Raw genomic sequence first — 14,700 nt, 5'->3', positions numbered from 1 at the left:
CATACAAACAATTAAATATGTAAATATGACCAGATTTTTAACCATATGGCCGCTGAATGATACAATATACAACAAAATGTAAAAGGATTGCTTTGGAAAGGTGGCAGTTATGCCTTTTGGGTAACGGTGGGGCTACAATGGGTTGTACCTGTTCATGATAATCTTTCAACTAGAAACAGACATCATTCCTCACATATCTCCAGTTCTGTGTTTGCCTCTGAGAGTCACTTTCAGTGTCTGACCTATTCTAGGAACCTTTCACCTTATCACTCAATGGAATGAGAAGACAAAGCTCCCTGGGAAATGTCCACAATCACTTTTCCAAGCTATGTAATCAGAAAGGCACTAGACATGAATAAAACTTCATCTCCAGGAAATCTAAATCATAACCTCATATCTACATCCTTTTTCCCTCTGAATCTGAATGCTTGAAGCTTTTGTTGTTTTGTTTTGTACAACCATTTTAAAATGCCATGGGATTTTAAATTTGATTTTAAATTTTAAATTTGTCATCATGAAGAAATGACAAATATAACCCATAAAACATAAATCTGTAAAACAGTAAGTAGATATATTATTTGACTTAGTGGTTATGGGATACAGGGGCTGATTTTTCAACTATTGCTACTATGAGAATAACCACAATTCATTGCCTTACTTGGTTAAGAAGCAAGCAGTGCGTGGCTACGGTGACTACATTTCTGTTTGGGCTTTTAGTTTGGACTTAAAGGATTTATAATCAGCAAGCCCCATTATGATTCAAGGAAGTAATGATCCTGGGCTTCCAGTGAGTCAGTGCATGAGTGAGAACATACTCAAGTGCTGTGTGCGTGCCCGTGTTCACGCACGTGTGCACATCCTCCTCAGTATGTATGGTGGAAAAAAGGTCAGCCATCATATTCCTTAGAATGTAAACTAACAGATAAGTTTAGCATCTTAAACAAATCAGGATAGCTTTCTGATAGGAGATGTACTGTGGAAAGCACTTACCTACTGAGGATTTTCAGAGTGTGTGTGTGTGTGTGTGTGTGTGTGTGTGTGTGTGTGTGTGTGTGTGACGCAGGCTGACACGGCATACCTCAATTCCCTTGGTTTCCTCAATGAACCTCCTGCTGACGGAGACCAGAGCCTCCTGCGGCCACGCATGAAACCAGTCAATAGCCGTGCAGTTAACTATGGCTGGGAACTTCCGAGCTCTAACTCTCAGCGTGCGACCAACTGGAGAGAAACACAAAATGATCTGTGGAGACATGGGGGCAAGGCAGAAACAGGCGGGTGATGAATGAGCAGAGAATTACATTGCAATCTTAGACAATGAGAGAAAGGAGTGCAGCCAACTGTGACATTAAACTACCCTAAAGCCCTAGAGAGTGGACAGCAACATTAACCTCCTTGCTAATCAAAGTGGAAACCTGTCCAAAGAGGCTGCTCCACTGGACACAGAAACACTGCTGTGTACTTTCCTTAAAACTTGTCTCTCTTTGCTTAAACATTTTTGGTTATCATTAATAGGGGAAAATTTTATTCATTTACATTACACAAGTAACATTATAATAAAAATAAAAATTAAGAAGAAATCACCATGATACAATAATACCAATGTTTTCATCTTCTGTTTCTTCCATTTTGTAATTCATCAGGTTCCATAAAGCTGCATAATACACTTTAAAAACAATGTCTTATCATCTTTAATGTTTGTGTTTCCATTTAAAATGAAATACATCTACTTGAGCTTCCGCTTCAGATTTTTAAAGGAATTAAAAATTCTGTTTATACCATCACACTGGTCTTTAAGAAAAAAAATCAGTTTAAACATTCTCCTGCTGAGAATTTTTTAAGTTTCTGCTGTAAATCTAAAGTTTTGTGTAGCTATGTAATGACCTAAAAGTTAATTTAAATCTAAATATACTTCCGTACTTTTTTTAGGGACACAAGGGATTCTGTCGGAGTCCTGAGGGTGGCTGTGACATCTGGCTATGACAGTAGGTCACAGAAACTCAGTGAGAGGAGCACCTGGTCAGCTCCTGTGTGCTTCAGAGGGTTCATCAGAGACACCCTGTGTAAAGTGCTAAAACAAAGGAGGTGTTCAGTGAGCATCCTTTCCTTCTCTGCTTTTATTCTCAAGTCCCTGCGTACGTGAGGACACTGGGAAGAGAACTGTCAATCAGGGAGTAAGGTCTAAGAGGGAGAATCTTGGTTTCCTCTTCTCTAGAAATGGCTCAGACCTGATGATATCAAGCTTTGTGGCTGCCTCTAAGTCTCTAACACTTTGAGATCAGGCAATTGATGAAATCATTTTTCAAAGGATGTGATTTTTTTTACCTATAGCATTTAAAAAATCCATGTCATAAAAAATTCCAGCATACGTGCACCCATATCTCATTTAACAAGTGTTTTATTGTTTATTTTATATGCCATGTGTATTCAACAATTCAAGCTATATAAATATTAAGATCAAAATGTTTTCTTTTATTGTGTCAAAAAACATGAGATCTACCCTCTTACATTTTTAAGTGTACGATACAGGATTGTTAACTGTAAGTCCAGCGCTGTGCAGCAGATCTCTAGAACTTTTTCACCTTGCATTACTGAAACTCTACACCCATTGAATGGAAACTCTCTATTTCCCCTCCCTCCAGCTCCTGGTAACCACCATTCTACTTTCTGTTTCTAGGAGTTTGACTACTCTCAATACTGCGCATAAGCAGAATCACATAGTAATTGTCCTTCTGTGACTGGCTTATTTCACTTAGCATGATGTCCTCGAGGTTCATCCATGTTGACATATGACAGGATTTTGTTTTATAGATGAAAATATTCCATTGTGTGTGTATATATATATATGTATATATATGTATATGTATATGTATATGTATATATAGCACATTATCTAGTTGCCTGTTGATGGACATTTTAGTTGCTTGCATATCTCAGCTATCGTGAATAACGCTGCAGTGAACATGAAAGTGTAGATATCTCTTCAAGATCCTGGTTTCAATGTCCTTGGCTATATACCTAGAAGAGGGATTGCTGGATCTTATGGCAATTCTGTTTTCAATTTTTTGAGGAACGACCATACTGTTTTCCATAGTAGTTGCAGCATTTTACATTCCCACCAATAGTGTACAAGGGTTCCAATTTCTCCACAGCCTCACCAACAATTATTTTCTGCTTTTGCTTTTTTAAATAATGACTATCCTAACCTATGTGAGGTGATGCTTCATTGTGGTTTTGATTTGCATTTCCCTGATTAGTGATGTTGTGTATCTTTTCCTATACCTGTTGGATATTTGTAAGTCTTTTTTTTTTTCTTTTTTTTTTTTTTTTTGAGACAGTCTTGCTCTGTTGCCCAGGCTGGAGTGCAGTGGCACAATCTCGGCTTGCTGCAACCTCTGCCTCCTGGGTTCAAGTGATTCTCCTGCCTCAGCCTCCTGAGTAGCTGGGACTACAGACACTTGCCACCACGCCAGGCTAATTTTTGTATTTTTAGTAGAGACAGGGTTTTACTATGTTGGCCAGGCTGGTGTCAAACTCCTGACCTCGTGATCCACCTGCCTCAGCATCTCAAAGTGCTGGGATTACAGGCGTGAGCCACCGCACCTGGCCTTGTATGTCTTCTTTACAGAAATGTCTACGTAAGTCCTTTGCCCATTTTAAAATCAGATTTTAAAATGTGAATTAATTAATTCCTTATCAAATACACAGCTGGCAAATATTTTCTCCCATTTCACATAGGTTGTCTTTCATTCTGTTGATCCTTTCCTTTGCTGTATAGAAGCTTTTTAGTTTGATGTAGTACACTTGTCTGTTTTTGCTTTTGTTTCCTTGGCTTTTGGTGTCATGTCAAAGAAATCATTGCCAAGATGAATCTTCTGAAGATTTCCCCTATATTTAAGTCTTTAATTTATTTCAAGTTGATTCTTCCATAGGTTGTAAGACAAGGTCCAATTTCATTTTTTTGCATGTGGTTTAACATTTTTTAATGTTGCATAAGCTGAGTAATCATTTTTTCATTATGTAAAACTCTAGTTACAAACGAAATAATTGCTGTAATATTTCATGTGCTAACTTAACAAGCCTTAGTTAAAATGCATAGTTTTTACCTATATCTCAATTCTTGGGTTTCTTATCAGCTTTCTCCTTATACTTGAATATTTCTCCTTTCTTCCCAAGAAGTTGGTTTCCCACACCCAACTCATCTGTCATTTGTGCCAATTTTAGAAATGTCATTTACACATAATGTTAGCAAAGGCAGAGGAAAAAAAGCATCTTTTATTTGACAAGATCCCAAATATTTCCATCACTTCTACACTTATTTCCACACTTGTAACTGGCATAGTATCCAATCTTAGGAATGTGTTAGAAAATACTGTATCTGAACCATATTTGTTCAACCTCAGGCAAAAATGCTTTCCCTGAGTTACTTGAGTGATAAGGCCTCATTATTGGTATGGTTTGCCTCTGTGTCCATACCCAAATCTCATCTCGAGTTGAAATCCCCATAATCCTCATGTGTCGAGGGAGGGACCAACTGGGAGGCGACTGGAGCATGGGGGTGGTTTCCCCCATGCTGTTCTCATGATAGGGAGTTCTCATGAGATATGATGGTTTTATAAGCATCTGGCATTTCCCCTGCATGCACTTCAGATGCGGCCATCTGAAGAAGGTACTTGCTTTCCCTTCTGCCATGATTATAAGTTTCCTGAGGCCTCTCCAGCCATATGGAACTGTGAGTCAATTAAACCTCTTTCCTTTATAAATTATCCAGTCTCGGGCATTTCTTTATAGCAGTGTGAGAATGGACTAATTATTTATTGAAAAATAATACAGAATGGTCACTTAGAGAACCATTATTCTTTTCTACAATTTTATGATTGAAGATATTTTCTCCCATGTTATGTATTATTGCTTAAATAAGGATCCTCACAACACTATGTAAAATTTCATATTGTGAGTGGGCCTGGGAGGGTGGCATGGAGACCAGTTGTTGTCAAAGAACTGTCTAGGAGCTGGTTGGAAATGCAAATCCTTGGACCAACTCCAGACATAAATAATCAGAAACTCTGGAGGTGGGACTCAGCAATGCGTGCTTTAAGCAAACACTCTAAGGTGATTCTGACACCCACAGTGATAGCCTAATAGTTTTAAATTGTCTACAGCAATACTTAAATGAAACATAGACTTTTCTAATGTTTTTGCAGTTTGTTAAATACGCGTAGAATCTAGGTCTCTACACACAGAGTAAGATGAAAACTTTAGAGAATTTTAAATAAATAATTACATGTAATCTAAATTCTATCAGCTAAACCAGACTCTGGGAATTAAATTATAGACATATACTTGTTCATTAGTAATTCTTTTGAAGGGAAAGGGGAGTGTCACGCTAGCCTTGAAAGTGCAGTTATTGACCCAACTCACTGCTCAATAATTTCTAGTTTTGCTAAAAATTGAGCATAAAATTTCTCCTGCCATCCAGCTTTCCTTGCTAGTGGTGTCATGTGAGATTTTTCCAGAAACCCATGGTAATGTCTGGAAACCGTTGGTTATTCTGCTCTTTTCTAAGACAGTTTACACGACTTTACAGATAACCTGAAGTAAACCCCAGTTGTCACAAGGAACATTACTGTGAGGGAAAAATCATTCCAAATAATTTTCCCATTATATTTCCCATAATTTAATGAAAGCTTAATATAGCAAAGGGCTTATAAGAAATAAAAACAAAATAAATCATTTTAAAAGGGTGTTATATTGTCTATAATTTAATTACTAGTATAATATGCACGTGAATAGTCATTTTATTTACACCTTAGGGGCTGTTGGTTAATATCTGGAATACACCAATAAGGGCTACACAGACTGGTGGGAAGGTGGCTAACCAGCATTTCATGGACTCTAATGGAAGCCCACACTGCAGATCCAGCTACCAGAAGCTCTTAGCCAACTACTTCTCTCATCAACATAAATGGTTGGTTAGGCAGCATCATGGATGGTAGACATGATTTTTCACTGATGAAATAAGTAGTGCTCAAGATATATGAAGCAAAACCTCCCCCATCAAAAATGTGTGCATAGCTCTGCCAACGTATCAACAAAATTTCAAAATCTAAGTATCAAGGTATCTCAGTAATTACATTTGGGGCAGTGGCCCTTGGGATTTTGGAACTTGACCAGTCATGTGGTAAAATGCTTATTAAGAGTCTAGTCTTTTGATGTGATTACGAGGTCAGCTGAATCCTTCCATGGAAATATTGCCACATGTGCCCCAAAGAAACCTTCCAAGGATGGGCAAGTCGGGTCCCCAAAAGAACAGAGCTGGGATTACACTAAACTCATCTATAGAGCAGGTTGTAAGGCTTGGTGTGTGCGTCTCCTTATTATCACCAATCAACTCTCTGTAGGAGGCTTCAGTCTGAGACATCCTTTCTTGGAAGCATACCTTGAGTTGGGACATTTGGGGAAAAAGCCCTCTCCCTCACTCAACAGATGTCATCTACCTCGAAGTACCTAAATTCACTGAACTACACCCTCCCTTCTCCTCCCACCCCCACCAGAAAGTTCTTGACAATTGCAAGTGAGCAAATTGGCTTAAGTTAGTTTCCAACAGTGGGATTAGAAAGTCCGTGAAAAAATAAAGTTAAAAACGCCTCTGGCAGCTGTGCTCTTTTCTCAAATTCTCACAAGTAAAAAGCAAACCCAGAAATCACCATCTACGTACTTCCTGCAGCTCTCACATTTGGATGTCAGGAACTTGCTTTTGGAATTCATACCATAGAATTTTCTATTCTTTTTTTCTTTTGCCCACACAGGTGTTATGACTCATTTGCAGGAGTCCACTTTTCCCTGTGCTTTGTAATATGTTTTCGTTTCTTTTAGATAAGATCTCATCGTAAGTACATATTTATTTGTATATTACTAACAGGGCTCAGTCCATTTCATCTGGTAATGAAAATGTGAATTGCTACAGTCACTCTGTATTTTTTTTCCAGTTGATATAGTTTATTCTCAGATGGTAGTAACCCTCCTACATATTTACTTCAGAAGCTTCCATCCATCACTTACATTTGCATTTATCCTCAAAAGCCTCAGTATTTTTCAAGAATAATCAAGTCTAAACCTGAGGAAACCCTCGCAGGAATGGAGGTTTAGTGCAGAAAACCTTCCCAGGTTTGACTGCTTCGGTGTCACTTTATCATCGTCCTCGTATCTTCCTGTATTACCACCCCATCTAATTACCTTTCAATTTCAATTTGTTTTTAAAAGATCCAATAGCTTCAACATGTGCACACTCAGTACATTTTCTTATTTATTTCCCTTTTAGATAGCACACAATAAACTCATTCCCATAACCTTTGACTTGTGTAAATATTGGACATCACAGATTTTTGCTAGAGGTAATGTTTGACATCAGCGAGTTTTAGTTAATTTTTCTTTCTTTTTCTGAACAAAACTCTCCTATTCAAGAAGAAAATTGTGTGTGGAATCCCAATAGATAGCAAAGAGCAAACCTATTCCTGAGGGGAAAGACAGGAAGCAGAGCCCTCGTCTCAGCTGCCATGCTTGTCACCAGGGCCTGCACTGGTCACAGACTGCGTTCCAAGCCAGTCTCTAGCCCCATAACAACGTATAAGTTTTGTTTTGTTTTTAAAGAAAATCAGATGCCTATTTTTCTTTCTTCTGGATAGCCCCGTATTCGAATTGTGTCATGCCAAGTTTCTGGCTTCTGATCAGCGCTGCTCTGTTAGAGTAGATGGTGTTTCTGCTGACGCAATGGGATAACTCTACACACATGCACCATTGCAAGAACAGGCCTCAGACTCTACCAGCAAACCCCACAGCTGAATGCTAGCAAAATGAGAAAAGCACGACATGCTTTCCAAAATGCAAAGGCTATTCAACGTACAGTGATGTTCTTACTCAAGGGATTAAGCACTGGATTTCTGCTGCAAAAATTTTCTTTTACAATATAAAATAATGGAAAGACTTCTACTCACTCTTTGGAATTCTCTTCTTGATCATTACTTTTTCGTGATATCTTTCTTGCCCTGTCTTCTGTTATCTTACATAACCTTTATCTCTCAAGTACATCGTTGTGATTTTACTTTTTGTGTGTGATTATTGGATTGAATGAGGTGGCTCTAGGTGGGCAGTGGCTGGGTTGGCCTTTGCTCCCTGTCACATTCCAAGGACTCAGCACATCACGGGCACTCAGTACATATTTGCTGAATGATGAATGGCTACATGAATGAGTAAATATACAGCAGTTTGAAAAAAACTTTTCTGGGTAAAATAAAACATTGATATTTGTATCCTAATTCTTTTGAGGTTTTGCTGTTTTATCTAATCTCAAAGAGGGTAAACCTCAGATACAGAGTACAAGGTTGCACCTTTTGTCTTTCTCTAAAGTTCTTTTCATTCTACTTATGTCAAATAATAACAGAAAATGGAGGACAGAGACTAGAGCACTGTATCCAGAGCGATGTGGTCCTGCAAAGCAAAACACAGTTGGCAGCATAGAGACTTACAGAGCTCTGGAACCAGTGCTGGGCAAGCCAGTTGTTAGAGTGTTTCTTGTTTCTCATTAGTGCATGTGTCAGAATGTGCTGCAGGAGGGGTGAAGAGTGCCTCTCTCATGGATGAAGCCGTCGAGATGGCTATCTGCATAAGAGAAAGAAGCCAAACGTTCTGCTCCTCAGCCAGAGGTAGGTTTGAAGAGACTCGACTTTACAATCTTGCAAGGATAAGGTTCTGCGATATCTGATTTTCCACTGGCCAGGTGAGTAGTTGAGCTTTTACACAAAATGAGAAACATACCCTGAAAATTACTTGCGTTACCACTAAGTTTTTTGGCTTATGTCATGTGTGTGTCTGTTAATCTGTTGCTTGCATACAAGTGGTGCTTGACATTTTTTGTTGAGAGTCTCAGGTCCCTGCACATGACGCTGTGTGAGCCAGGAGGAAATCACCCACCTTGTCTGTCGCCAGACTTTAGCTGTGAATTACTGTCTCTACGTGCAAAGAGGAAAGAAACCTAAGTGGAGCCAGAGGAAGAAATACTTTACAAAACCAAGAAAAATAGAAAAGCATCCTGCAGATTGAAAGGCAGATAATTCCTCCGAAGTTGATTTAATATAAGAACCTGAAGAAAGGAATAAAAACTTGCATAGCACTCTCAAAAGGCTGGAAGGAAAGAAAATAATAGAAATCCATAGTCAGAGAACATGCCAAGATGAAGAAAGAAGGTAAAAGAAGGGGGTTTAAATAAAAACGGATAGGATAAACTGCAACACCTTTTCCTAAAAAAATAATATTTAAAATACCTCAGGCCAACATTTCATCCCATACTCAATGATGGAAAGTTAATGGCATTCCCATTGCATAAATAAATAAATGAATAAAGAGGATCACTATAGTTACTTAAAAGTTTTAAATGTTGTTCAGAAAGTATGGCTGTCCCAAGATGTAGGAAAGTGGTGATTATTATAAAGGATTAAAAATCAAAAGATGATCTGTCTACGCAGCAAACTCTAAAGAACAAAATGCAGAAGCTAGTGGAATTAATGTGTGCACTGAATTGGTTGGTAAAATACATAACTAAATATCCATCCATTCCTCCTTCCCTCCATCCAATGGCTTTCTTTTATGTCCACAATGATCAGTTAGAAATTTGGCAGGAGTGGAAAATGCTGTAAAATATTGAGAAAAGAACTTAATGAGAAATGTGTAAAATGAATTGAAGATAATTAACTGCTTTTTCAAAGCTCAGTTAAAGACACTTTGACTAAAGGAAGACACGTGCCACATTCCCGGAAGAGGTCAATTATTATAAAGATGCTAATTCTTCCCACATTCATTAACAAATTTTAGGCGATTCTAATAATTCCCAACAGGATTAGCAGAATTTAGCAAAGTGATTTTAAAGTTCAGCCAGAATAAAAACGAGTAAGAAAATCAAAGGATATCTGGAAAAATATCCTTTGTTTTGGGAAAGAACTCACACTATCAAGAAAAAACCTTAAATTATAACAAGGAAAACAGTGTAGGTGAATGAACAAAAATACTCAATATTGTAATTATATCCATTATCCCCTAAATTCAATTTTCATTGAATTTTTTAAAAAGTCATCAAACTGATTTCATAGTTAATCCAGGAAATTAAAGGTGCAAATAACTAAGTAAATGTAGAAAAGGAAGGTGATCTTGCTCTACTAGATTCCAGAATATACTATAGGGCTATAATAAACACACCAATTATCTGTGTTTATTATGCAGTGTGGCAATTATGCAGGAACAAATTAATGGGACATAACAGACAGCCCCAAATAGAATCTTATATATTTAGGCATTTAATATATGAGATAAACATCATTTCAAATCAGTGATAAAAGAGAGATTATATAATAAACGGTGTTGAGGGTATTCAGGGGTGGAACAGTAGGAAAGCCATCTTATAATTTACACAAAACTGTATGGCTGAACATTAAAAATATTATAAATTAATTTAAAGAAAATTCAGAATAATAGTTTTTATAACCATGGAGTGCAAAAATTGCTTCCTAAAAAAGCCTTAACACATGAAAGCCATAAAATAAAAATTTAACATTTTTAATAAATATGAATGTAAAACAGGAGGTCATCATAAAGTTAGCAGAATTATGATAAATTAAAACTGGAAACACCTAAAACCAGAACATTCTGGACATATAAATAACATCGATTATATAAAGTGCTCCTATAACCAACAATAAGAAGTTACAGCAAACCAACAGGAAATTTGGAAAAAGCTATAAGTGGATAAAGGACATTTTCTACAAATAGTTATTTAGAATAAAGTATATTTCAATTAAATAGTTCATTCCATACACCAAATTCTTGATCATTTGATTTTTACCTCCTATGGGAGCCTTCTAATCAGAAAGACAAATGGGAAGGTAATTAAAGAAGACTGCGTGAGAGGTAAATAGAAATTTTTTAGTTCTGAATATATACTTCATGTTTATGTGCACATAGAAGACTGAGAGGAAACATACCAATATGTTATCTCCAGACAATATTATTAAGGGTAATTTAAAAATATTTTTTACATTGTTTTGTATTTTTAAATTCTCTCCAATGAACACATATTTTTTAAATTATCAGAAATGGATAACTATATATATATATACTTAGAAAGATAATGAGGCAAATATCTAAAATCTTGGGATGGAATCAGGGGCTGCTACATAAATCAAGTGTCCTTTGCCCTACAGCATCATATGGCCAGGAAGGAAAGTAAGAAAGAAAAATTATTGGGTGAACTAAGGTCCACTGGAGAGGAGATGAAAGTTCTATATTCGAGCTGCAAGATGAGAACTGTGTGGGAAAAGATGCATATAGACAAATGTGAAGGAGAGAAGGCATTTGGCATTGCTATTCATTGCCTTATTTGAGGCAATCCAAGGACACACATCTGATGGTTGTTAATGGGAACTGCCCTCTGGCATTCAGAGGTCACATTTTGCATGCCAACAGGTTCTCATTGTCTCTGCATTCCAAGTGGGAACTGACTTTGGGCGGTGAGCATGGGTAATGGGGTGGCAACTTCACATCATTTAGCTCGACCTGCCAGGTGTGTTCACCAACCCCCTGTAACACATTAAGCTTTCCATGATGCCTGGTTTGGAACTTATGCAAAGGAGATATCAGCTCATCAGAAATTCTGAGTCTTTAGTACACACTGGTGAATATCATGATATCTGAAAATAACATAGAGCAATTTGGAATTCTTTAAAATTCCAAGGATGTGGGGGTAACATACATAAATTAAAAGAAAGAAGCTGGTATTTTCAGGCTAAAAGACTGCCCATTTTTTACCGTAATATTTCTCCCTCAAGGTAAAGAGGTCATGGTGCTGACCATTAGCCTTCCACAGGGTGGATCAAACTGAGTGACAAGGCCAAAGGGGATCAGAAGTGGGATCCCTTCTGACAGAGATATCCTATTTCTACTTGATGTTAAAAACAAAACAGCACAAAACAAAAACAAAAAAAACCAACTTCCTACTCATTTTAGTAGGGAAGAGACAGGTCATTCAATTAATAGTCCTGTGATGATGGGGTGGGGGGGGAAATTATCCACATCTAACTCAAAAATAAATTCCATCTTGTATTGAGTTAAATAAAAAATGAGACCATAAAAAGGATTAGACAACAATAGAGATGAATATAAAACTGATCTCAGTTTCAGTAAGGTCTGCCTACACACAGACCCAAAGGAAACAAAGAAAAAGGCTGATGGATATAAAAATATAAAAATGTAAAACTTCTGTATATCATTCTGTATTATATGAATATTAGTAAGTCCAAGGGAGAAAAACATATACATATCTCAATAGATCCTGAAAATGAATTTACTAGGTAGATACTTCTTTGACAAGATACATATTCTGAATCAAAAGCCAACATAAGACCTAACAGTGAAACATTAGACACATCCCCATTAAAGTAAGAATCAAGACAGAATTCCTACTATTATCAAAATTATTTAATGTTCTGTAATATTTACCAATGCAATGAGGGAGGAGAACAGAAAAACAGAATAACAGGAGAGACAAAATATCTTTACCTGCAGGCTATATGATATCAACCAACTATTATAAACTATAAGAGAGACAGTAAGGTAGCTGTTTATAAAGTTAAAAATCAACAGCTCTCCTATATACAAATAATACACCGTTACAAAACTTTACGAAATCCTTCTATAAAAGCAATAAAAGACATTGTACCCTGAAGATTAAATTCTAATATAAAATAAGCATTCAGCATGATTTCGATCAAAATTGACATGGAGTGTGTTTAGAATTTGACAAAATGATGCTAATCCTTATCCAAACATATAAACACAGGAGAATAAGTAGAAAAAGCTTAACAAGAAAGAGCAATTGGAAATGAAAATAAATGATAAAGCTTTACTAATTTATAGTGCAATGCTGAAATCAGTAGCAGACAGTTAACAAGAAAAGAGAACAGAGAATTTAGAAACAGACACAATTAATATGGCTATTGGACATACACTAAAGATGGTATTTGAAGCTGATAAGGAAGAAATACATGTTGTTTAGACAAGAAGACATCTTTTTGGGAAAAATAACCTGAAACCTCTCAGCTCACACTTTACCGTATTTAATAAAAAATGTATTTCAGAGGTAGAAAAGTTTTAAAGAGCATGAAAGCACATAGGCACTGGAATGACTGATACTGCTCCTTTTTAAAACTATTCCAAAATCCATTTCAAATTGTACTCATAAAGGCAATGTCCCCAAATTAAATATTTACTCCCTCAGACTCCTTAGTAGCCGGAGGCAGCATGGGAAGCATTTGCGGCCAGTAAGACATGAGCTTAGGGTTTGGGGGAGGAGCTTAGGTTTCCTGGTACAGAGTCTCCAGGTCCTCTTCCCCTTCCTTCCCCCTGCCTGGAACATGAACATACTGCACCCACCTGTGATCAGGAGGCAAGAGGCATCACGATGAAAGCAGGCAGAAGGGAAAGATGAGACAAGCATCTCTTCTAAAGGGCCTCTAAGGGTAATACTGAGCCAGTCTGGACTTGCTATTGTGAGAGGCTTTAAGAAACTGTTGAGTTTTCTCTTACTGTAGCTCAATTTGAGTTCCGACTGCTTCTAGTAAAGATTATCTTGCTCATGCCTGTAATCCCAGCACTTTAGGAGGCCAAGGCGGGTGGACATGAGGCCACGAGTTCAAGACCAGCCTGGCCAACATGGTGAAACCCCGTCTCTACTAAAAATACAAAAAATTAGCCAAGTGTGGTGGCAGGCACCCGTAATCCCAGCTACTCAGGAGGCTGAGGCAGAAGAATTGCTTGAACCCAGGAGGCAGAGGCTGCAGTGAGCTCAGATCATGCCATTGCATTCCAGCCTGGGCAACAAGAGTGAAACTCTGTCTCAAAAGATAAATAAGTAAATAAATAAAAATAAAAAATAAAAAAGATTATCTTGAAGAGTAAAATACTTTTCTAAATTTACAAGAAATGGATCTGAGGATCCATTAAGGAAAACACTGATTAACATGTAAACCTTTAAAAAATTGGAAAGTTACAGACCTATAAACAAACATGTGCCATAAGTACATTTAAAAGACAAACAAAAGAATAGGAAAAATATACATGAGACACATATATAAGAATAATTGCCTAAATACATAGAACTCTTACAAAAATATGTACAATCCAATAGAAAAGTGAGCCCTTTATGACTCAGCCTTAGTTGTTGCTCAGCATCACCTCTGCCATACTGGATATTAGCTGAAGCAGTCACAAGCTACCCACCCAAATTCAAGAAGAGGGGATCTAGATGTCACCTGTAAGTAAGAAGAGCATCTAAAAATTTGAAGGCATGTTTTAAAACTACCACAAGCTGTAACTACTGAATCTAGCAATATCCATTCTAGGAATTTATCCTGTAGAAGCAAGCAAAGTTGAGCATGAAAGATATACACAAACAATGCTCATTCTAGCACTATTTATAACAATGGCTCTTAAATTTCATCATGCCTCTGAATCACTTGGAGGCCTTGTTAAGACAGATTTCTGGGGCCACCCAAAGTTTCTGCTTCAGGAGGTCTGGCTTGGAGTTGGAGAAAATGCATTTTTAAAAAGTTGCTTGTTGATGTTGATTCTGCAGCTCTGAGCAACAGATTACGATAATCA

The 14,700-nt window shown here is 37.2% G+C and overlaps 1 protein-coding gene across 1 annotated transcript in view, besides 1 other annotated feature; it reads right to left on the bottom strand.

Annotated features, from left to right (window-relative positions):
* The window catches only part of DNAH11 (dynein axonemal heavy chain 11), a 358,801-nt gene that overhangs the window by 135,172 nt on the left and 208,929 nt on the right, over nucleotides 1-14,700 (bottom strand). Inside the window, exon 55 of the mRNA NM_001277115.2 lies at nucleotides 1,079-1,240. Coding sequence (NP_001264044.1) covers nucleotides 1,079-1,240 — 162 coding nt within the window. The remainder of the gene's footprint in view (nucleotides 1-1,078; nucleotides 1,241-14,700) is intronic.
* Nucleotides 951-1,466: an enhancer, noted in NCBI's record as "NANOG hESC enhancer chr7:21804820-21805335 (GRCh37/hg19 assembly coordinates)". NCBI's record gives its function as "activates a minimal SCP1, AML or CMV promoter by ChIP-STARR-seq in naive H9 embryonic stem cells {active_cell/tissue: H9 hESC(naive)}" and the evidence as "EXISTENCE:reporter gene assay evidence [ECO:0000049][PMID:30033119]".

The sequence above is a fragment of the Homo sapiens genome, chromosome 7, assembly GCF_000001405.40.
Source record: "Homo sapiens chromosome 7, GRCh38.p14 Primary Assembly".
Taxonomy (NCBI): domain Eukaryota; kingdom Metazoa; phylum Chordata; class Mammalia; order Primates; family Hominidae; genus Homo; species Homo sapiens.
The sequence above is the reverse complement of the archived record's forward strand: the minus strand, read 5'-3'. Positions and strand labels throughout refer to the sequence as shown.